The sequence below is a fragment of the Homo sapiens genome, chromosome 2, assembly GCF_000001405.40.
Source record: "Homo sapiens chromosome 2, GRCh38.p14 Primary Assembly".
NCBI lineage: Eukaryota > Metazoa > Chordata > Mammalia > Primates > Hominidae > Homo > Homo sapiens.
In genome coordinates, this window is record NC_000002.12 from 12011807 (window position 1) to 12035839 (window position 24033).

At 41.6% G+C, this 24033-nt stretch overlaps 1 long non-coding RNA gene, 1 other non-coding gene and 1 pseudogene across 4 annotated transcripts in view, besides 1 other annotated feature; 2 read left to right on the top strand and 1 right to left on the bottom strand.

The window, feature by feature from the left end:
• Positions 1-24033, top strand: part of MIR3681HG (MIR3681 host gene) — a 571233-nt gene that overhangs the window by 4691 nt on the left and 542509 nt on the right. The gene's annotated exons all lie outside the window — the stretch shown is intronic.
• Positions 11670-13024, top strand: ST13P1 (ST13, Hsp70 interacting protein pseudogene 1; annotated as a pseudogene).
• LOC124906141 (small nucleolar RNA SNORD18) lies at positions 18497-18566 on the bottom strand. Its single transcript, XR_007088707.1, has one exon. It is a non-coding gene; the product is annotated as a small nucleolar RNA SNORD18 (small nucleolar RNA).
• Positions 22809-22858: an enhancer, noted in NCBI's record as "active region_15335". NCBI's record gives its function as "activates an Ori minimal core promoter by ATAC-STARR-seq in GM12878 lymphoblastoid cells {active_cell/tissue: GM12878}" and the evidence as "EXISTENCE:reporter gene assay evidence [ECO:0000049][PMID:35858748]".

Genomic DNA, 24033 nt, shown 5'->3' on the forward strand with positions numbered 1-24033 from the left:
AACCCTGGGACCAATAAAAGGAATGTCCTACCTGGCAGGTGGAAATCTTCTAGAAGAAAATCTTCTAGGGAATATTACAAGATATGGTTACTTTGCAGGCCACGTCTCAGAGCTTTGAAGTCAAAGATGAATTAAAGTCCCTCCCAGTTGGCATGACACACAAGCTTCTTCATAGTCTGACCCTTGCCTAAGGGTCCACCCTCTTTTCCCACAAGTTGACCCACCTGGCCCCACATGGCACAGCTTGCTATTCACTGCTTTGGCATGCTCTTTCATGCCTCCGTACCTTTGCTCATGTTGCTTCCTTCTCCAAGAATGTACCTACCCCTTCAAAATCTCCCCACATGTTGAAAAACATCTACTTATCCTTTAAGTCCAAGCTTATGTCTCATGTGTAGCCTTGGCTAGCGAGCGACTGTTCTTCTGATATAAACTCTTCAAGGATGGAGATGATGTCCTGCTTATCTCCCTAGGGCTCAGCACTCTGCATAATGCATGTAAGATCCCCAAATAAGTGTTTGGTGTGAGGAGAGAGAGGCAGTGTGGGCCTCTGAAGGCCAGAAGGCCTGGGCTCTTGTCCCCACATAGCCACTTCTAGATTTGTGAGCTTGGGAAAATCACTTACCTTTGAGACTCAGTTTCCTCATTTGTGAAATGAGGATAATGTTAAAACCACACTCACTAGGTTTTTGAAATACAAGTAAGGTAAGAAATGCAACCTATAAAATGGGATCTAGGTTTGAGAAGTAAGAATTGAATATACCAACATAAAATTAAAGACTGATACATTATACTACATTGAGATGTTTTGATCCTCAAAAGACATCATAAAGAAAGTGAAAAGACCAGCTGCAAAGTAGGAGATGATGAATGTAACACCAGTAACTGAAAAAATCCTAGTATTAAGAACTCCTCAAATCAATACGAAAAAATCTAACCAATAAATATGAGCAAAGGCACAAACAGGCATTTCACAGGAAAGGAGACACATAGGATGAATAAATATGTGGAAATGGAAGCTGATTCCACAGTGTGATGCCATCTTACATGCATCTGAGTGGCAAAATTTAAGAAGTTTGACATTTCTATGTTTTGAAAAGAATGTAGAACAATGGTTTTTCTGCTACTTTGCTATGGAAATGTAAACTGCTGTAATCATTTTGAAAAGCAAGTTGCAATTCTTTTTTTGTTTTTAAGAGACTAGGTCTCACTGTTTTGCCTAGGCTGGAGTGCTGTGGCTTTTCATAGGCATGATCATAGCACACTATGGCCTCAAACTCCTTGTCTCAAGGGATCCTCCTGCCTCAGCCTCCCAAGCAGCTGGGACTACAGGTATGTGACACCATGCCTGGCTGTGATTCTTTTATAAATTTGAATATTCACATTTGCTAGCATCCAGCAATTTCCTTGTAGGTATATACCTAAGAGAAAATCTTGCTTATGTGTACCAGAAGATGTGTATAAGAATATTTACAGCCAGTACTCTTTCTAATAAAAAATCAAATAACTCATACAGATACTGACAGGGGAATGGATTAGTAAACTGTGGAATAGTGACATAAACAAATATTATATAATTGTGAAAGTGAATGAATTTAATCATAGTATGGATAAATAATATCAACATAATTCTAAATGGGAAAAATAAGTCTGATACATAGAGTTTGATGATAACGTGGTGTTAAAGATTAAGAAAACTAAATGATACATTGTTATATACACACATAAATGCAATATTATGATGAACCCCAGATTCAGGATGTTGGTTACCCCTGGTGGGGAAGAGGAGACAGAAGGATGACATATGGAGGAACATAAGATAAATATTAATTGGTGGAAAGGTTTCAGTTCTGGTTTAGGTGGTGTGTTATAGAAAGTCTTTATGTTTTTAAACAAATACTAAAGATGCAATGTCATGCAGTGCCCAAGGATGGCCAATGAGTGTGCCATTGCTGATTCAATTCAATTCTACATCTCTTTCCTGAAACACACGTTCATTACGTTTTTACCATGCATGTGCATCTCATGTGGCTGCGTACTCCTGGTGTGTGGGAGAGCAAGCTGGAGGGGAAAGAAAGAAGAGTAGGGTGAGCCTTGATTAGTTTATAATTGACTGCTAATGTTGGAGAAGGATCACTTGAAGTGATGTTCGATCTTGAGAAAGTCACTGCCCTACTTTGCCTCAGTTTCCCCAGCTTTGAAAAGGGAAATGCATTCAGTGGCTTGGAATTCGCCTTCCTTCTGTGACTCCTCTTCTCTGCAGACATTTTTCTCAGGCTTCTCTTCTGTGTCTGTGTCCCTGTCACTGCCACAGAGACCACACCCCAAACACACCCAGGCCATCAGTCTGGGGAAGTGGAACCCAGCAGCCACGGGCAGAATTCTGGCTCCTGCTCCTGTTGGCATCTATGTTTTCTGCTCCGACTGTCCAACCACATTTGTTAATCACACAATTTAGTGCCCTGTAAACAGGGCCACTGTTTCACTTCCCCACAGGCATTCTTGGAAATAGCAGCTGAGGAAGATTTGTTTCTAGTCATGAACCAAATATGAAGGTCACATGATTTTGTGATATTTTTTCCTTACCAGAGAAATATGGGAGGCTTAAGTAGGCCAACCTTCCAATTAATCCTAAGAACAGCTGCCTTCGAGGTGGGTGAGCCCGAATATGATTCATTTTCCTAGTCATTTATCAAGGAAAAGAAACGGTCCATTGGCCTCCAATAGCTTTAATTCATTGGAGGCTAAACTATAGCACAGCTGGTAGACCCCAGCTTCACAGGCGTGATCCAGACTGTGACCTGTATTCACCTTTGCTTTTGAGTGGAAATGTTAGACTATATAAATAGTGCACGTGGACACACACACAGTGCAGGAGTTGGCATCTTCCTGCCAGTGACAGCACTGTGGGAAGCCCCAAGTGGCCTTGCCCAGGTGCACTTATAATTGCTCCTGTTTCTCCTTGGCTATCGTAGCCTCATTTGTCTAATTCTTAGCTCTGCTGAGCAGAGGGCTTTTCCAGTCATCCATGCAATGGAATGGTGGCCTGTCAGGAGTGGATGGATGTAGGAAGGGCTAAATGGAGATTTCCATCTCCACGTTTATTTCAAAACTTAACTCTGGAGTGAAGTGACCTTTTCAAAATCCTGGGAACGCTCATCATCTCCACTAAGTGGGTGAGGAGGTCACTTTGGTCTAGGTTTTCCAAATTTCTTGGGCTTTGCCTGATGGATTCCCCATGATCAGAATGAATCCCAAGAGAGAAGTCTTTCACCCTGGCAGGAAATAGATTAGTTAGGGACAGACCTATGAATTTTTTTTCTGGAATGACGGTGATGTTCAGTTTCAGTAGTGACACACTAAGGGAGCTAAAAATCTAGCAAAAAACAAAACAAAACAAAAAAACAATGTTTTGAAGGACTGAGCTGATCCTGACCAATGGGTCGGGGCTCTGCAGACTTTGGTGATATGGAACAAGGGAAAGGATAAGAGAACAACAGTGGAGTCATCTCAGAGATTATCTTTCTGGAAGATGACTTAGGGGTTTTCATTCCAGTTTCCAGGGATGTAAATGAAGGGAGATCCTGTGTGCCTGGAAAGACATATTCAAGGTCACTTTTCCCAAAGGCATTGTGCCCCTGGCTTGAGGCTGGGATGCCTGTCCCGAGCAGAGTCGGCTCTGCCCTAGACCTCTTCCTGGTGATTCTGTCCATGCCATCAGCCGCTACACACCTGTTGAAGGCTCCCAAATCACTGGAGTCATCCCAGACCTCTCTCCTGGTTTGTTTGTTTGAGATGGAGTCTCACTCTGTCGCCCAGGCTGGAGTGCAGTGGCACAATCTCAGCTCACTGCAACCTCTGCTTCCCAGGTTCAAGAAATCCCCCTGCCTCAGCCTCCTGAGTAGCTGGGATTACAAGTGTATGCCACCATGCCTGGTTATTTATTTATTTATATATTTTTTAGTAGAGATGGGGTTTCACCATGTTGGCCAGCCTGGGCTTGAACTCCCGATCTCAAGTGATCTGCTCACCTCAGCCTCCCAAAGTGCTGGGATTACAGGCGTGAACCACCATGCCCTACCTCTCTCCTGGGTTTTTGACTCATGCATCCAACAGATTCCTAGTTCTTATCCATTTCAGACCTTGTGTCTGATTTAAATTCCCTGTCTTTCCCTGAACCCACTTGTCCTCTGATCTCTTGGGACTGCCACCACCAATTACCAATTCACCTGGGCTAGACTTTGGATGTCATCTTGTATTAGTCAGGGTTCGCTAGAGAAACAGAACCAATCAGATATGTGTCTGTGTCTATAGAAAGAGATTTATTAAAAGGAATTAGCTCACATGATTATGGATGCTAACACATCCCCAAGATCTTTAGGGTGAGTAGGCAAGTTGGAGACCCAGGAAGAGCAAACATTTCAGTTCAAGTCCAAAGGGAGGAAAAATCCACTGTTTCAGTGTGAAGGTCATTAGGCAGGAGGAATTCTCTTGCTTTCGGGAAGCTCAGCCCTTTTGTTCTATTCAGGCCTTCAACTGATCAAATATTGCCCACATTAAGGAGGGCAATCTGCTTTACTAATCTCATGCAAAAACAGCCTCACAGAAACACCCAGAGAAATATTCGTATATCTGAGTGCCCTGTGGCCTAGTCAGGTTGGTTCATAACATCAACCATTGCATCTTCCCAGGCCCCATGTCAGTCATCACGTCTTGCTTCCTGCCAGTATCTCTCCTCTCTGCCCCTTCTTCCTTTTCTACTGGGCCTGCAACAGTTCAGCCAAAAAGCAGCACTTTCCAATAACCTCCAAATCAGACTTCCTGCTCCTTCTTCCTCCACATCCAGCCTTTCCACTGCCCCAGTGCAAGATCTGAGACACACCCCTCACTTTCGACCCTCAATGGCTCTCTGTCCCTCTGTTTCCTACAAAGTAACAGCCAATCTCTGTTCATGGCACTCACAGCTCTGCATGGTCCAGTCCTAACTCCTTTCTAGCTTAAGTTCCCATTTCATTCCCACAGATACTCCGCTTCCACAGCAGCAAGTTCCTCCTCACTTTTCAAGCACTCCTGTTCCTATACTCTCTCATCACAGTATTTCCATATTTTTGAGAATACTTATTGCTCATTTCATATCTTCAAGAGCTGATAGGCAGCTGGTCAGACTTCTCTGCTCCTGAGGTTAAGTGGGCCACTCACAGGTCTTTGCATTTTGACACTGGCCTCTTTACCCTGACTCTGTCATGTCATTTCAATCTCTTGCAAGTGTGTGCACACTGCCTTATTCTAGAAGATATGATTGGTGTGTGGGATTCATCTCTGTGCAGTTTAATGCAAGTTCTCTCAGCAAAGAATGGACATTAGATTCAGAAGAACTGTGTGTGAATCCTGACTCTAATACTTTCTTGCTGTGTGATGTGGAGAGACGCTTAACCTTTCTGAACAACAGTTCCTATATCTGCACAACAATGTAAAAATTTTCATTTCAATGTTATGAATAGTAAAGAAAATAGGTGCACAAATGCCCGAACAGCATCTGGATTCTAGTGCATATTCATAGCCCTTGTTAGATAGAAGGGAAAGTGAATTTACCACCCTTCTCTTTTAAGATATTTAGTTATCACATATGGGATGTTAGTTTTCTTATGTATTATTTTCCCCTCATTTTACTTTGGTTCTCCTTAATGCACTCAATCCTCAACACAACTTTTAGGAGGGCTTGAATTCATGTTACATGCTAGTAATCTCTCTTTCTTTTTTTTATGGCTATTTGACTTGAATTCCCACTTGAGAACTAACGCTGACCAGTGTAAAACTTTTACGCTACAGAAGTATGCAACATCCTGTTGCCAACCACCATCAAACACGGCTCTGTGATGCGATGTGACTTCCATAAGGTGACAAGGGTGCCACTCTCTAGGCTTTGAAGGAACCAGTGTGAACCCCCACTCTGATTCTCCTCAGAAGAAACGAAGTGTTGAAAATTAGATTCAGCTGCAAGTGTTTGCAGCGTCACATTCAGAAAGACAGATCAGAAGCTGCTAGAGGCTATTTTCAGAGAACTCCTAATAGGTACAGAACCAAAATACAGACATGGTTGTTAACACTCTGGGAAATGCCAACTTCAAGCTGGATCTGAGCCAGCAGAGAAATTGAAAGTCCTAGATAGCTTATCTCAGAGCAAATCTGTATTATGTAGAAAGTGTGAGATGCAATTATACGGGAGAATTATATAGGAGTGCTCGTTCTCTGCTGTGCATCGCCATGGTGCCTTGAAACTGACGATATCAAGGTGCGTTTGACATTTCCTAAATCTTTATTTCCCTGGAGCAGGTCATTGTTCTTCCCTGTATTCTTTCTTATGCCTCCTCTTTAAACTCTACCCATTTTCTCTGGTCTGTCTCATGCTTTCCCAGGGCTTCACTCACCGTATATCCCTAAACGAATAACTCATTATATATTTCTAGCCTTGAATTTCTTTTGAACTTCAGACCTGCGTTTCAAGTTCCCCACAAGGCACCTAAATTCAATACCTCTTCTTCCGCCTCTGTTACCCAGCATTTGAGCACAAGTTCTTTGACTTCAAGCTGAGATCTTTTTGCTCTTTAAAACAACAACTTTCCTAAGGTACCTTTGCTAACTGAGATTAAACCACCCATTTAGAATATTCTCTTGGAAAGGTAAGAGAATCAGGTCTGTAGCATTGATTAGAATTTGGATTCAGAACCTGGGATCAAGTCTCAGCTCTGCTGCCCTGCAGGAGCACGGCTCTCATCTTTTTCATCGATGAAATGATGATCTGTAAAGGATGATAGCTGATAAGAAATGAGTCATTATGTTGTGATTACTGTGTGCAGGCTCTGTTCCCGGTGCCATACATATGTGTGGCACTTTGTATATATACAAACTGTTAAAGCAATGTAAATATGGCCTGAGAAGGACTCCGTATTTCTCTGTTCGGGTCCTGTGGATAAACTGAAACCTAACTTCATAGGCAGACAAGATTGAAAACCTAACTTAGGAGTATGTGCCTGTAACAACAGCTGAGTCTTGGCCAATCCCAGTGGCCATACTTCAACCACTCATCAATTGCTAAGTGTTTAAACTACGTTTAAATATGGCAAATGCCAACCTGTAACCAATCCAGCTGTTTCTGTACCTCACTGCCGATTTCTGTATATCACTTCCCTTTTTTGTCTATAAATTTGTTCTGACCACGAGGCATATCTGGAGTGTCTCTGAATCTACTGTGATTTTGAGGGCTGCCTGATTTGCAAATCATTTATTGCTCAATTAAACTCTTTTAAATGTAATTCAACTGAAGTTTTACTTTTACTCTATGAGGATCGTGCTATTATTCAAATTCTAGGGAATGAAGTTACTGAGTTCGTGGAACCGCCTCCCTTATATGTTTGTCATGGGTTACATGCCATACCATGCAGGGTGCTCCTAGTTCCGTGCCTGACATATAGTAGGTTAGTGTTCCTTGCCCTTTAAATTCCACCTTACCCCACCCAACAAGATTTTAAGCTTTGCTTGATGTCCGTTGTAGCTTAAATGTATGCATTTTGAGTTTTACAACAAATATATCAAGCATAGAATATAGTTCTTCAAATGTTCTGTGCCTCTTTGCAGATTTCCATTCATCCTCAGGGGGATATACGCACCTCTTGAGGTTGAGACCCGTCTCCTATGGAGGTGGTAAGTCACAGGAATGACCATTTTCTAATTTGACATCATTCTCTTTCTTCTGAAGGCCCTTTCTGGGGTTGTCAGGGCATAAAGGAAGAACTTCAGGAGACTCACTTCTGGAAAGTACTTCAATTCTGAAGTCCAGGTTTCTTTACTGGAATGCAATGGTGTTGACGCATCAGGGCCACAGGTGCATGGCCCTGAATTTCAGCTAAGTTATCCCCACGTGGCTGCAGGTCTCCCCAGCTCATCCCTCACCCATATTTGAGAAGGGCATGGCTGGTAGGGGGCAGTGCAGCCTGAGGTCAGAGAGCAGTTAGGCTTGGGTAGGTAACAGGGCCACACAGAGCTGATTTGATAGTCTTGGTTTTAAGTACAAAATCGTGATGTTGTTAGAACTCAGCCCATCCAAGTCCATGGCTCCACTGATTCTGTCAGTACTGTCAATTCTCCCAGTATAATCTACCATTACGATTTTCATAGGAAGATGCAATAAGAGATAAGTCAGAATGCAGAGCTGAAGGCAGAACTTAAATAAGATATTTTGTTTTTCCATGTATCCTTGGGAGAGACAAAGGTGCAGTCTTGCCTTAGGCTGTGGATGGGATTTGGAGGAGTTGGGAGGGAGTGGGAGCTGGGGAGAGCCAGCCACTGGCATCTCCTGGCATGGAGGTGACAGCCAAGGTCAAGGGCATACCTGTGTGTTCAAAAGATGTGGGGAAATTCCACATGGGCAGTGTTTAGGTTCTGACTTACCTAAAATGAACCAGTTAACATAAATGTGACTATGATGTAAAGGTATGAAAGAGGCCTTCACAGCCTTTCCCCTCAGAACCTTGTATACTTATGGTGGCTTTGTTTTGTTGACCAAGAAGATGACTGAAAAGGCGAATGGTAAGAAACAGGTCCAAATTTTCCATAAAGTATCAAGAAAGAAATGGGAGAAGACAGGGCCTGGAGAGCCAGTTGGTCTACAGATTTTAGAGAGAAATTAGAAATGAATCAGAGAAGGGAGATTTTAGAGAAGAGTAGCTGTCAAAGTATGTAAGATTTGGGGATAATAAAGTTTCTTTTAGAATTTTTGCTGTGTGTCTGAAAATGTAATTTTCCCATTGGTACCTCTGAGGAAATCCATTTCACATTTAAAGTGTTTTTTTCTGAAGCTTCTCCCCTTCTTCCTTGGGGTTGGGTGTGTCTTTTGGATACAGGGCAGTGTGGTATGATGGTTAAAGGCACAGCCTCTTTAACCAGACTGCCAGGCATGTTCTAGCTTTACTGCTCCATAGCAGTGTGACTTTGAGCAAGTATCGAATGCCTTTGTGCCTCAGTTTCCTCATCCATGATATAGGGATACTCATCATATTCCCCCAACAGAATTGCATGTGGTGTAATTTGAAACTGACCCAATTGCTCCATAGAACTGATGTTTATAGATTATTTTGAATAAGCATAGAAATTGACATTCCCCATCTTGAAACTTGAGAAACTGACATTTGTCTTATCTGAGTTCCTTTCCCAGGAAACCATCAGTCAGGCCACTCAGATAGTATCAAGTAACTGAAATGTACCAGATCACCGCATCTGGGCAATGAGAAGTCAGACCCCTTGCCTATCATGACTGCCTAACCGACCACCTGCTACCTGTTGACCAGCTCCTCTTCCTTACCCCTCCCTAATTCCTGTTTTTATGCATGTAGATACATTTTTTCCCTGCTATATAAACCCCTAATTTTAGTCAGCCAGGGAGATGGATTTGAGACTAAGCTCCCATCTCCTCAGCTGTAGCACCTGATTAAAGCCTTCTTCCCTGGCAATACTTGTTCTATCAGTGATTGGCTTTCTGTGCAGTGAGCAGCAGAACCTAGACCGAAACCCTAGTGTTTCAATAACAAAATGAGGTATCACTTGCAGAGCATGGAGGGCAGTGCTGGGACACAGTGAGAGCCATGAAAGACTGGATTGTTGAATTGTAATGTGACACCTTGTTGGCACCAGCTGCAGTGGGAATTTCAAGGAGTAATTATATCAGATTTTTGACTCATTTTCTGTGATATTGCTTATTAAATAATAGCTATGGATCCAAGTCAAGAATTCACCACTGATATTTCTGTCGGCTCTAGGGTGCAAGGGGTGTGGATTAACCCTGTCGTAGGGTGTGGTGGGACTTGAAGTACCACCCTAGAGACAAAGGGAGACTGGGCAGGGTGCTGAGCTGGGAAAAGAAGATTTAAAAACAAAAAATGAAAGTAATCATGATAATCAGCTAATTCTGTCTTCAGGACTGGATATTTCAGATGGAGGAGTGGTTTATCCAGCATTATAATTCACTCGTATGAGAAATTCTCTGAATTTCTCCTGGCAAAACTCCAAGCTTGATGGTTGCCTGATTTCTTAGCAGAGCTGAATGCTGTCTGGAAGGGGAGGTCAGATGTGGCTGAGGAGCCTGCACTAAGTCGAGGCTTGACTCTGTCCCACAGCTGGAGAAGTGCTGGGGTAAGTGATGGGCAACAAAGGCTCAAGCCCCTTCTGGGAATTGACATGGAGGGCTGCTGGGAAGATGAACCGTAGGTACAATGTGGTCTCCTGAAGGACCTGGTGCAGGGCTACATAGGTAACTGATCCCCAGCTGTGGGGCAGCTGACAATCAAAGGCCCTGTGCCCTCATTTGCTTCTAGTTTGATAGGGCTGGTCACAAGCAGAATTTCCATGGTAGCCTGATTCCTGCTGCCCACAGGACCGGCACAGGTGGGACATAGTTGGTAGCAAACCCTGCTCTGTCCAGGACTCTGGTGAGGTGGACACACTAGGCATTTTCTCTGCTGGTAGCAGGACATCTAGCAGCTGACAGCATTCAGAAGGGGAAAGACTTGGTGACACTTTAGCATTCTCGCTTTTTTATGGAAGAAATACATCTCCTCTTTGTGAACATCCATACAGTTTACTAGTGGGTGACCCTAAAATGGGCAAAGATCAGAACACATGTGTGTTCTCAACGATTCCTTCTAGTTCCTCTCCCAATTCCCTCAAAGAGGACTTTGAGACTCTGGCAAGTCCAGACTACCTTTTGAATGCATTTCGTGTGTCTCACCCTATACATCTCCCTTATGAAGGTTTTTCAGTGCTTTTTTTGGGTGGGTATATATCTTGCCACAATATTCACAGAGACAGGCCATGGTACAGCCTCAATTCAGCAATTGATGTTCTGGCTTCCATGACTCTGCCTGCTACTTTCCTTACCTGATAGGTGCACACACCTAAGTTACTCTGTGCTAAGAGGGAAAGGAAGACAGGAGCTAATACAATCAAGTATGGCAGCCAATGCCTAGCATAGTAAGGTGCCGTAGCAAGTGAGGCTGTGTCCATGCTTCCCATGCTGAGTAGGAAGTCTAAATCTGAAGGTATGGCCCTGAGAAGACAAATAAGAGGAGAACTACAAGAAAGCTGAGGCAAAGCAATGTCAGACCTAAGTGGCCTGTAGGGGACAATCTGAGATCGGAGGCTGCAGGGCCAAAAAAAAAAAAAAGGTTTGAGAAAAATGAGAGGTTGGGGCAAAGTGGGCCATGAAAACACAATACTCAAACTTAGAAGTTGGTTTAGTGTTGAGGTAAGTTTTGCAATCCCATTCACTTTTCTGGTGTATATATGTATAAAATTCTTAAAAGTAACTGATATGATTTGGCCATGCCCCCATCCGTATCTCATCTGAAATTGTAGTTCCCATAATTCCCACATGTCATGGGAGGGACCCAGTGGGAGGTAATTGAGGCAGTTACTCCCATGCTGCTGTTCTCATGACAGTGAGTGAGTTCTCATGAGATCTGATGGTTTCATAAGGGGCTTTTTGCCCCCTTTGCTCATTCTTCTCCTTGCTGCTACCATGTGAAGAAGAACATGTTTGCTTCCCCTTCCACTGTGATTGTAAGTTTCCTGAGGCCTCCCAACCCTGCTGTACTGTGAGTCAATTAAAACTCTTTCCTCCCCTTCTGCGCGGTCACGCCGAGCCAGCGCCTGGGCCTGGAACCAGGCCACAGCCCCCCAGCTTCACCCACCACCTCCCTACCATGGACCCCCGCAAAGTGAATGAGCTTCGGGCCTTTGTGAACATGTGTAAGCAGGATCTGAGTGTTCTGCACACCGAGGAAATGTGCTTCCTGAGGGAGTGGGTGGAGAGCCTGCGGGTAAAGTACCACCTGCTACTCAGAAAGCTAAATCAGAAGAAAATGCCAAGGAAGAAAAACCTAATAGTAAGAAGGTGGAGGAAGACTTAAAGGCAGACGAACCATCAAGTGAGGAAAGTGATCTAGAAATTGACAAAGAAGGTGTGATTGAACCAGACACTGATGCCCCTCAAGAAATGGGAGGTGAAAATGCAGAGATAACGGAGGAGATGATGGATCAGGCAAATGATAAGAAAGTGGCTGCTATTGAAGCCCTAAATGATGGTGAACTCCAGAAAGCCATTGACTTATTCACAGATGCCATCAAGCTGAATCCTCGCTTGGCTGTTTTGTATGCCAAGAGGGCCAGTGTCTTCGTCAAATTACAGAAGCCAAATGCTGCCATCCGAGACTGTGACAGAGCCATTGAAATAAATCCTGATTCAGCTCAGCCTCACAAGTGGCGAGGGAAAGCACATAGACTTCTAGGCCACTGGGAAGAAGCAGCCCATGATCTTGCCCTTGCCTGTAAATTGGATTATGATGAAGATGCTAGTGTAATGCTGAAAGAAGTTCAACTTAGGGCACAGAAAATTGCAGAACATCAGAGAAAGTATGAGCAAAAACGTGAAGAGTGAGAGATCAAAGCAAGAATAGAATGAGTTAAGAAGGCTCGAGAAGAGCATGAGAGGGAGGAAGAAGCCAGACCGCAGTCAGGAGCTCAGTATGGCTCTTTTCCAGGTGGCTTTCCTGGGGGAATGCCTGGCAATTTTCCCAGAGGAATGCCTGGAATGGCCGGAATGCCTGGACTCAATGAAATTCTTAGTGATCCAGAGGTTCTTGCAACCATACAGGATCCAGAAGTTATGGTGGCCTTCCAGGATGTGGCTCAGAACCCAGCAAATATGTCAAAATACCAGAGCAACCCAAAGGTTATGAATCTCATCAGTAAATTGTCAGCCAAGTTTGGAGGTCAAGTGTAATGCCCTTCTGATAAATAAAGCCCTTGCTGAAGGAAAAGCAACCTAGGTCACCTTATCGATGTTGCAATAATACAAACCAATGTACCTGTGACATGTACATCAAGAGAGCTGGGGTGCTTTGAAGATAATCCCCACCCCTCTCCCCCAAATGCAGCTGAAGCATTTTACAGTGGTTTGCCATTAGGGTATTCATTCAGATAATGTTTTCCTACTAGGAATTACAAACTTTATTCACTTTTTAAACCTTCAAAATATTTAAAACAAATTTAAAGGGTCTGTTAATTCTTATATTTTTCTTTACTAATCATTTTGGATTTTTTTCTTTGAATTATTGGGCAGGGAAGATACTTATGTATGGAAGATTATTGCTCTAATTTGAGTGAAATAAAAGTCATTAGTGCGAGGCAAACATAACTCATTTGAGGATAAAGTTTGTGTTGGATATGTGGTTCCTGATGCATTTGGACTTGTCTTTTTAAATGCTTTATCTTTTTTTTTAAAGATTTATTTCAATACAACTAATTGGGACCACCTGTATTTCAGTAGGACCTGGGTAGGGATTGGAAGTACTTGGCAGGGCAGCAGCAATCTTGCTGTGTTTTATGTAACATGCATCCTTGGGCAGGTTGCCCTTAAATCTTACACTGTGGTGAAGGGATGATTTTTTTTGTAATGCTGCAGTAGAGTTGGAGTACTTAGTTCTCTTCTTGTCCAGTATATCTAATAAGTATTTCATATTATTTCCACATAAGGGAAATAAGGGAGTACTTTTCTTTTTATATTTCTATGCTTAAAATTCTCTTTCCTAGTCAAAAATTGCCCAACTCTGTGTTTGCTTTCTGCTTGTTACATTTTTCTCCCTTTTCTTGGGCTAAAGACAGGCTTTTTCCACCAGCATCATCACTGCTATCATCATTAACAGCGTAATTATACAGGCATATTTAATGCTGAGTTTAATTTAATATGTAATACATATGGTAATTGTAGGGTAATACCCACAACAACTGTAGTTACTTTCTTGGCCATGAGAATGCTTATTTAAGTGTTAGACTTCCATTCTGGCAAAATCTTGCCATATCAGAAGACATTGGAAAGAGGGATTTCCTTTGGTGTCTGGTCTTCTACTTAGAAAATACCTATTGCAGTTAGAGTTTATCTTGTAGTATTCATCTTTGTATTCTGAAGATAATAAGGTTTGAATTAAATTGATATATCCAGAAGGGAACCAATTTTTTTGATCCAATGTGAATTATAAATGAGATAATCCACAGTTATTCATTGTGGAGTTGTTGAGACTATGAAAGACTCATTGTCTTTGTATTCAGCTCTTCCTTAAATAGCGTAACCATACCCCCACCTCTGCTTGCTTTCCTTCCCTCCCCTCCAATGATAAAGAAAATGGTAAATTTTCTGTTGTGCATTCAATTCTTATTTTAAATAAAACTAAGTATAGGCATTGTACCTGACATTGCTACATTTCTACCAATGTTTCAATTAACGTGCTAGTGTTTAAAAACATTTTCAAGGGATAAGAGCTTCCGTACTTTGCTTATTTGAAGAATCAGTGGTAGGAGCAGTGAAGTAAATTCTATGGAGTACATTTCTAAAATAGCACGTTTCTGAAATCACAAATAAGTTTACTCAGGTTCTAACCCTTTGCTGTACCCCAGCAGACAGAAATGCGTATGTTACATAAATGAGAAAAAGCTATTATGCTGATGGAGCATGCTTTTTAAATCCTTTAAAAACACTCACCATATAAACTTGCCTTTGAGCTTGTGTGTTCTCTTTGTTAATGTGTAGAGTTCTCCTCTCTCAAAATTGCCAGTGTGTACTTGGCTTAACTCAAGAACAGTTTCTTCCGGATTCCTTATTTGATTTATTTAACCTAATTATATTCTAATATTGCAAATATTACCGTAAGTGGGTAAAAGTAAAATTCCTCTTCTGAAAAAAAAACAAAAACAAAACCTCTTTCCTTTATAAGTTATCCAGTCTTATGCTTTTATTAGCAGGGTGAGAACGGACTAATACAGTAACATTGGGTCATAATGAACATGATAAGCAAAGCTGAAAGAGTTAGTTAAATTATTCCAGGGATCACGTCTATCCTATCAAACTTACTTTTTTCCTTTTGGGAATCACTTTTAAAAATACAAGGGCTTTACATGTGCGTTACTCATTATAGCAGCCATTACAAGCATATTCTGAATCTGACATCTAAGCAACATTTTGACATCTACGACCTGCAGAGTTGAGAGGCACCAAAGAGACCATTTCACTTCACAGGTGGTAAAACTGTGGCCCAGGTAATGTGCGTAAACTGTTGAGGATTTCATGGTTTGAACTGGAACTTCTGTCTATTAGATTGAGTGGTATCAAATTTTATTTGGAAGATGAATATTGATATCTTACTCTGCTCTGGGCTTATTTAAATTCATATTAAGAAAAAATTAAAATAAGCCATATGTCATGGCACACCAACAGAGAAATATCAGTTTTCTATTAATAATGTTTACATTTTATAATGTATCAAGGTTTTCCAAGTGTTTTCTAAGCGAGCTCAATATTGGAAAGACAGATATCACTTTTAGAGAGAAGGAAACAGATGTCCAGAGTCACCAAGTGACTTGGCCGAGGCCTCACCATTTAGGAAACAGTGAGAGCCAAGTTCCACACCTGTGTGGTGACTTATTCTCTGGTCCACTGCACAGATGCCTGGGACAAACCTCACCAGGTTCTTCCTTTCAAACCTGATGTTTTTTCCTGGATGATGAAGCATTTTGTCTACAGGTCTGTATATGTGGAAGAGAGAAAGGTGATTTTTTTTTCCTTAAGTCATTCTCAGAGCTTTTATCTCTCTAGCAGTTTCTGACCTTCACCTCCCTTCTTCTTCTCACTCATTTTCCTTTCTTATCACATATTAGCTCTAGCGTTTTCAGTTTTTATCAATACATTTTGTAGATTTTTATAGACTAGTACAGAAGTTGCCAAACTATGGCCCACCGCTTGTTTTTTAAAATAAAGCTGAAGTAAATAACAACGTCATTGAGATACGATTTATGTGCCAAAAAATTCGCCCTTGTAAAGTATACAATTTAGAGGTTTTTAGTATATTTAGAGATTTGTGCAATCATGACCACTGTAAGACAGTTCCATCACCTGGAAAGAAATCCTATATGCATTGAGTCACTCCCTATTATCCCAGGCCCCACCTAACCCTAAGCAACCACAAATCTGCTTTCTGACTCTATGAAACTGCCTATTCTGAACATTTCAAATAAATGGAATTATACAAGATATAGTCTCTTGTGACCAGTTTCTGTTAGGTAGCATGATGCTTTCAGGGTTCATCCATGTTGTGGCACTCATTGGTACTCCATTTCTTTTTATACTGCTTAAAAGTCCACTGTGTGGACATACCACGTTTTGTTTACATATTCATCTGTTGATGGACCCTTGGGTTTTTTCCATCTTTTGACTATTATGAATAATGTTGCTATGAACATTCATGTACAAATTTTTAGGAGGGCATGTGTTTTCATTTGTCCTGGATATATACCTAGCAGTGGAATTATTGGTTCATATGGTAACTCTGTCTGATATTTTGAGGAATTGCCAAACTTATTTTTCAAAGTAACTCTACCATTTTACAATCCACCCAGCAATGAAATGAGTGTTCCCATTTCTCTACATCTTTGCCAAAACGTGTTATTTTTCATTTTGCTTTACAATACTTTTGGGAACTGGTATTTTGTCCGTCTTCTTTATTTTCATCATTTTAGTGGGTGTAAAGTGTATATCATTGTATTTTTTATTTGAATTTTTCTATTGGCTAAGGATGATGAGCGTTTTTTCATGTGCTTATTGGTCATTTATGTATCTTCTTTAAACAGATGTCTATTTAAATCCTTTGCCCTTTAAAAAATTGGGTTGTCTTTTTGTTGCATTCTATGAGATTGTATATATATATGTATATACACACACACACATACATACACACACACACACACACACACACACACACACACACACACACATATATATGGATATTCAGGAACCAAATCCCTTATTAATGTGATTTGCAAGTAATTTTTCCCATTCTATGGGTTATATGTTCACTTTATGATGATGTTCTTTGAAACCCCAAAGTTTTGAATTTTTGTGAACTCCAATTTATCTATTTTTTTCCCTTTATCACTTGTGCTCCTGGTGTCATATATGGATTGAAACCATTGCCTAACCCAAAGCCACAAAGAGTTACTCTTATATTTTCTTCTATAAGTTTAATAATCTTAGCGTTTATATTTAGGTATATGATCCATTTTGAGTTGATTTTTTATACCTGTGAAGTAGTGGTCCAACTTCATGTTTTACATATTGTTTGTTTGTTTGTTTGAGATGGAGTCTCCCTCTGTTTTCCAGGCTGGAGTGCAGTGGCATGATCTCGGCTCACTGCAACCTCTGCCTCCGGGGTTCAAACGATTCTCCCAAGTAGCTGGGACTACAGGTGCTTGCCACCATGCCTGGCTAATTTTTTGTATATTTAGTAGAGACGGGGTTTCACCGTGTTAGCCAGGATGGTCTCGATCTCCAGATCTCGTGATCCATCCACCTCGGCCTTCCAAAGTGCTGGGATTACAGGTGTGAGCCACCATGCCTGGCCACATATTGTTTTAAAACAACAATTTTGTAAAACATCCAGTTGTCCCAATGCCATTTGTTGAAAATACAGTTTTTGCCTCCGTTGAATTATCTTGTCATGCTTGTTGAAAATCAATTGATATAAGTATTATTCCCTTCCATTTTAATAGCTGGCCTTAACATTCCCATTCATGATCTTATATTTATCCCATTGAAGGCAATACCGCTGGCTCACCCTTGTATAAACAGATCAAAGAGAGCCTGTCTAAAAGTTTCAGTGTATTTATTTTTAAACTTGGAGAAGGGAAAGTCTTTCTAGGCAGCATAGAAAACCCAGAAGCTATAAAAGAAAAGATATACACATATGACTATATACAAATTTTGCATTTCTGTTTGGCACAGAAGAGTTCAAACAAAGGAAGACAAACAAATCTGGGGAATGGATCTGCAACAAATACGACAAATGAAAGGCTAATTTTCTTCATCTTTAAAAAGCCCACCAATAAGACATTTATAAATTAATAGAAAACCCAATAAAGAAATATGAACAAGTACATTTAAAAGGTGTTCAATATATCTCTTAGTTAACGCGATGCAAATAAAAATTATGAATCACCGTGTTTTTTCCTTAGGAAGGTAAACATTAAAACACTGGCTCATGGGAAGTGCTGCTAGTGACTGGCTGATGGGGTGGAGAACATCTATTCTCACAAATTATGGGGGTGCAAGTTGTTGCTACTATTATGGATTGTAATTTGCCAATGTTTGTTAAAATACAAATTGCTCATATTTTGATCTACAAATTTCATTGCTATGAATACTTGCTAGAATGAAGAAAAAAAAAACAAAAGGAAAACAAGCTTGGAAGCAGTCTAAATGTTTAATCAGGAATATTAAACAGTCATCAGGTAGCTTCATGTATCTTAATATGGAAAAATCTCTAAAAATATTTTCAGGGGAAGATTTAAAATACTGTAAATTTGGACATCATATGGACCAAATTGTATAATCTCCCCCCCACAAATCAGAACTTCCACAACATCATGTGTTTCAGAAACACAGACCATGAAGTGAAATCTCATCATACACACATTTTAAAAATGTAAATATAAAATAAAATGTGTAAAAACACAATGTAAAGGTAAACATGCCAAGTGAAAATTAAAAATTATAAATGCATTCGTATGTGTCAGCATAACATTAAGTCTAAGCATAGTGTGTATTGTTGCTGTTCTTAAAAGGATGCATTAAGTATCTGATGATAGTGATTATTGTTTGGGGGAGGGACCAAGAATGGAAAGATGTATGTACTTTTCATTTTATAACATTGCACACCACTGAGCAGCCTCATCCAGTGCAGGGTATTATTTTTAACCTTAAAAAATAGGGTCAACTGGGGCCAGGAGCGGTAGCTCACGCCTGTAATCCCAGAACTTTGGGAGGCCAAGGCGGGTGGATCGCGAGGTCAGGAGATCGAGACCATCCTGGCTAACGTGGTGAAACCCCGTCTCTATTAAAAATACAAAAAATTAGCTGGGTGTGGTGGCAGGCGCCTGTAGTCCCAGCTACTTGGGAGGCTGAGGAAGGAGAATGGTGTGAACCTGGGAGGCGGAGCTTGCAGTGAGCCAAGCTCGTGCCACTGCACTCCAGCCTGGGTGACAGAGCGAGACTCCATCTCAAAAAAAAAAAAAAAAAAAAAAAAAAAGATCACTTGGGATTATTTGAGTGGTGGGATGATAAGCCAAAATTTTCCGGCTTTCTAGATCTCTGTATTAAAAACAAGTTATAGTTGTTTTTTTAAATTAACATTCTTAAAATACCTACCAGTTGTAGTTTACTAACTGCAGTCAAATTTCTAAAGCTTGTTAGGTGATGGGGCTGCTAGAAGCCATGTGCTTATGAGACAATGCATTCAATGTTGACATTCATCATCTGCTTCTTTTTAAATAATTTTGGTAAACTATTCCTAACATAAAATTTACAACTTAACCATTTTTAAGTGTGCCGCTCAGCGGCATTAGGTACATTTACATTGTTGTGCAACCATCATCATCCATCTCCACAAGTCTTTTCATCATCCCAGACTGATACCCTGTCCCCATTTAATAATAGTTCCTCATTCTTCACTCCGACTCCTGGCAACCACCATTCTGCTCTTCGTGTCTATGAATTTGGCGGCTCTAGGTACCTCACGTAAGTGCAATCATGCCATATTTGTCCTTCTGGGACTGGTTTACTCCACTTAAGATAATGTCCTCAAGGTTCATCTGTATTGTGGTGTGTCAGAATTTCTTTCCCTTTGGAGACTGAATAATATTCCACTGATGTATGTGGCACATTTTGTTTCTCTGTTGATCCACCGATGAACACTTGGGTTGCTTCCACCTGTTGGCTATCGTGAATAATTCCGCCGTGCATATGAATGCATAAGTGTCTGTGTGAGACCCTGCTTTCAGTTCTTTTGGAAATATGCCCAGAAGTGGAATTTCTGGATCATGTGGAAATTCTGTATTTAATCTTTTGAGGAACCGCCATACTGCTTTCCACAATGGCTGCACCGTTTAACTCTCCTACCAGCAATGCACAAGAGTCCCAGCTTCTCCACATCCTTGCCAATGGTTATTTTATGTATGTGTCTGTGTGTGTGTGTGCGTTTTCTGATAGTGACCATTCACATGAGTGCAAGGTGATATCTCATTGTGGTTTTTATTTGCATTTTTATCTGCTCATTCTTACAGCAAACATTCACTGCCAGCACACAGGTGCCAAGACCTGGGACACGCACTAGTGCCCAGAGGGGCCCTGCTGTCATCGCCCTCAGAGTGGGGTGGGGGTACTGATAACCAAATGCAAGCTGGCATTACCCCTCCTGGCAGGCAGTGAGGGGTAGCCTGCACGTGGCACTGTGGGGACCCTGGGGTGGTGTGATGCTGGCTTGCTTGGTCATCTCCAGGACTTCCTAGTAGGCTAGAGACAGTGAGTTCCAAACACTTAGGAAAAAATTATAGAATAACACTTAACAAAAAATTATAGAATAACACATAACAGTGAGAAATTTCTACTCGTTTACTTATTGTTCTCCCTGCAAGCTGGGAAAAGACAAGCATTCTTTGATTTTGCTGTTAGAACGTGGGGTTCCTTGGAACAAGTTCCAAGCACCACAGGCTTAAATGAAACATGTATTTCCACAGAGATGAAAGAAAAGGGAGGGTAAGATATCTCCTATGCAATTGCTTTGTATGCAGCCCAGGCTGTGAGGAGGAACAGTTTAGGCAACAGCAACACCACCCCCTGGCATTTGCAGAGGGCATTTAACTCTTCAAAGCACTGCCTCATAACCAAAGGAGGTGGCGTCCATGCGGAGAAAAGGTTATCACTTTTTTTTTTCTTGGCCTATAATTACTCATGTGCTTCATGCACCTGGTGGAAATTATATTTAACAGTACATGCAAATGCTTATTTCCTGAATGAATTTACATTTTCTTAGCTACTTTCTACTGTTCCCTTAATGTGGGCTTTATTAACCAGTTTTTATGCATTTTTGTTGATGTTAGCTTCTTGGCTAGTAACATTCTCATTTGGAGCTATCTTGGAGGTAGGACATAAAATGTATATGTGTTTATAAGTATAACATTCTTGAAAAATCAGTTATTAAAAAACAAAACAAAAAAGATTTTATAGCCAGAGTAGTGGAAGTCTAAGCTTCCACTACTTTCTTTTTAATGTCATTGGTTGATAGGTATTATACAAGTAATTGCTACCTTTAAAAAATTGATGAGGTTTAGTGTTTACTCCTGCTGAGTGAATTTTTTTCAGGATACCAAGCATTCTTTCTGTACTCTGAGTCATAGGTCAAAAAGTGGCTCTTAGATTCATGTATTTACTCTTTCTGAAAGCTTCTGCCTCCATTGTGGCATTGTAAAAGTGTCCTGGCTTTTTTAGGGGGAAAGGGAATGGGTGTGATGCTTTCTTTCTGGAAGCTTCTGCCTCCATTGTGGCATTGTAAAAGTGTCCTCGTTTTTTTAGGGGGAAAGGGAATGGGGTGTGATGCCTTATAGGTGAAAAGATTTCTCTTATTCCGTCAAGACACAGGAGGTCTCAGAATGGTGCGAGTTTTGGCAGCCTGACTGGTTTCTTCAGGCCATGGGAGGAAGATAGAGCAGCAATGTTCAGGGACCTGATGTGCTCAGAGAGGCTCCCAGAGCACTGCGTCCACTGCAGGATCTTTTTGGTTTTTGATTCATTCAAGAAATATGAATTTATTATCTCTATTACGGGTTGACTTCTGTCCCAACAAAAGTATGCTGGAGTCCTAGCCCCAGGTGCCTGTGAATGTGACCTGATTTAGAAATTGGGTCTTTGCAAGTATAATGAAATTAAGATGATGTCATATGAAATCAGGATGAGCCCTAATTCCATATGACCGCTGCCCCTCTAAGAAGAAGAGGAAAGACATAAACCCAGACTCAGAGAGGACATCACGTGAAGATGGAGGGAGAGGTGGGAGTGACGTGTCCATGAGCTAAGGAGCATCAGGGACTTGTGGTAAATCCCCAGAAGCCAGGAGAGAGGCAGGACGTGGATTCTCCCTCAAAGCCCGCAGTAGTAACCAAGCCTAAGACACCTGGGTTTTAGGCTTCTAACTTCCAGGACTGAGAGAGAATAAATGTCTGCTGTGTATTGCCATCAGGTCTATGGTGATTTGCTATGGTAGCCCCAGGAAACTCAGACAATGTCCAATATCCCAGATGCCACTTGGCACTGAGAAGCGTTAGGTAAAGGGGACAGTGTCTTTGCCCTGAAGAGGTAACACCAATGGAGGAACACACCCATGGAATGGGGGCAGTGGGTCCCATGTGGAGGATGGTAGGCTTTGGAGTCAGACCGAAGCAACTTCCAGTTGGGAGCTGATTTTCTTAAACTTTTTGGAGTTTGGGGTTTTTCCTTTTTACAGTGCAGGGCACCAGTGTCCTTCTCATGGGATTCCTGGTGGAAGGGTGAACACAGGTGTGGAGCTGAATGAGTTTGACCAGGGCCCAGCCTGCCGAAGGCCCCCAGCTAACACTTGCTATGGAAGGCCTGGACACACCGTCCTCACTCAGGTCATCCATTTAGAGTCAGTCTCTGCTCTTTCAAATTCACTTTGGTAGTTTTTGTCCTTGCATGGTGTTTATTTAAGGAACCATTCGGTTGGTTGAAACCTCACAGCATTTAGGTTTTGGCTCAATGCATTGGAACAATCTAGAAGGTATTTATAGCTAAAAACGTTTGTGCACCCCAAACCACATTATTTTACATCTCCTAACACTTGAACGAGCTCTGGTTTGGTTTGGATCTTTAAACCTTCTTGTGGTGTGGAGGAGAGTGAATTTTCCAACATCCCTCTCTCATCTCTGTAAATATCTTGGTCCCACCCCATCCAGTCGTCCCAAGCTGCGGTCTTCATCAGGTGACGCACAGGCAGCCCGATTATAATAACGTGGGCAGATGCTGTGTGAGGAGCCTTGATGGCCATTATTGGCAGATATTGGGCAAGACACTTTAATAGCTCACAACCTGCCTTTGTCTGGACTCACTTCAAGTCCTTTAACAGACACCTTCTATGGACAAAAATTGGTTTTCATTTTTGGGTCTTGGCAAGACAGAAACACAGAAAAACACATTTCTTCTGTTTCTTCTATACACCTGTGTAGGAACAAGCCAGGATTTATGAAGTTTGTCCTTTTTGAAAAACTCATTTTATTCCTAGCCAATATCATGACCTTAATGTGCATTCCAGCAATATCTCCAAAGGCAGCAGAGGGAGTGGGCCACGGAGGCATCAGTGCTGCCTCGTCGGGGACTGAAATCAGGCCGGAGCAGACAGTGGAGAAGGAAATATTTGGAGAAATAAGAACTGTGTTTTTATTCTTTTGTTGCCAGAAAGCCAAAACCGAAGCTGGAATTTTGTGGTTCCAGCACTTTTTGTGCCTCCCAGTCATTTTTCACAGATGGTTCTGGTTTAAGGAGAAGGCACTTTATCCACCAGAGGGAACGAGGCCCAGCGAATGTGCCCAAGCTGCCCATTCTCGTGCCTTGGTTTACTCTGCAGCTGGAGAAGATGAGAGCTCAGAGAAGATGGCTCAAAAGCCACCAATTAGGATGCAAAAAGGGAGCGATAAAATTACTCTGCAACAATGAAACTTGAACTTTCCTTTACATGATGTCACCTTGGGAGCACCAACTGCAGAGTCAGTCACGTGCTTCCTGGAGCCCACCTCCTACAAAGCTGAAGCTCACGTTTGGGCAGTTCTCAGTTTGCTTCTTTCTTTTCATTTGCTTCTGAGCAGCTTGGTGCCTTGCCATGCATCAAGACTTTAAGATAAAAGGGGCATAGCAAAGGTGGAGGTGGCATCACCTCTTCTCTTCACTGCTGAGTGGGTGAAGCCTTTCCTGACCACGTGTCTCTTCAGCAGCCCCTTGTCACACCCAGTCTTTGGCCCCTTCTCACCCCTCATCACCTCTCCTTGAAATCTCCCACCTTCCTACCAAGTGAGGTGGCTGGGTGTGTCAGGAAA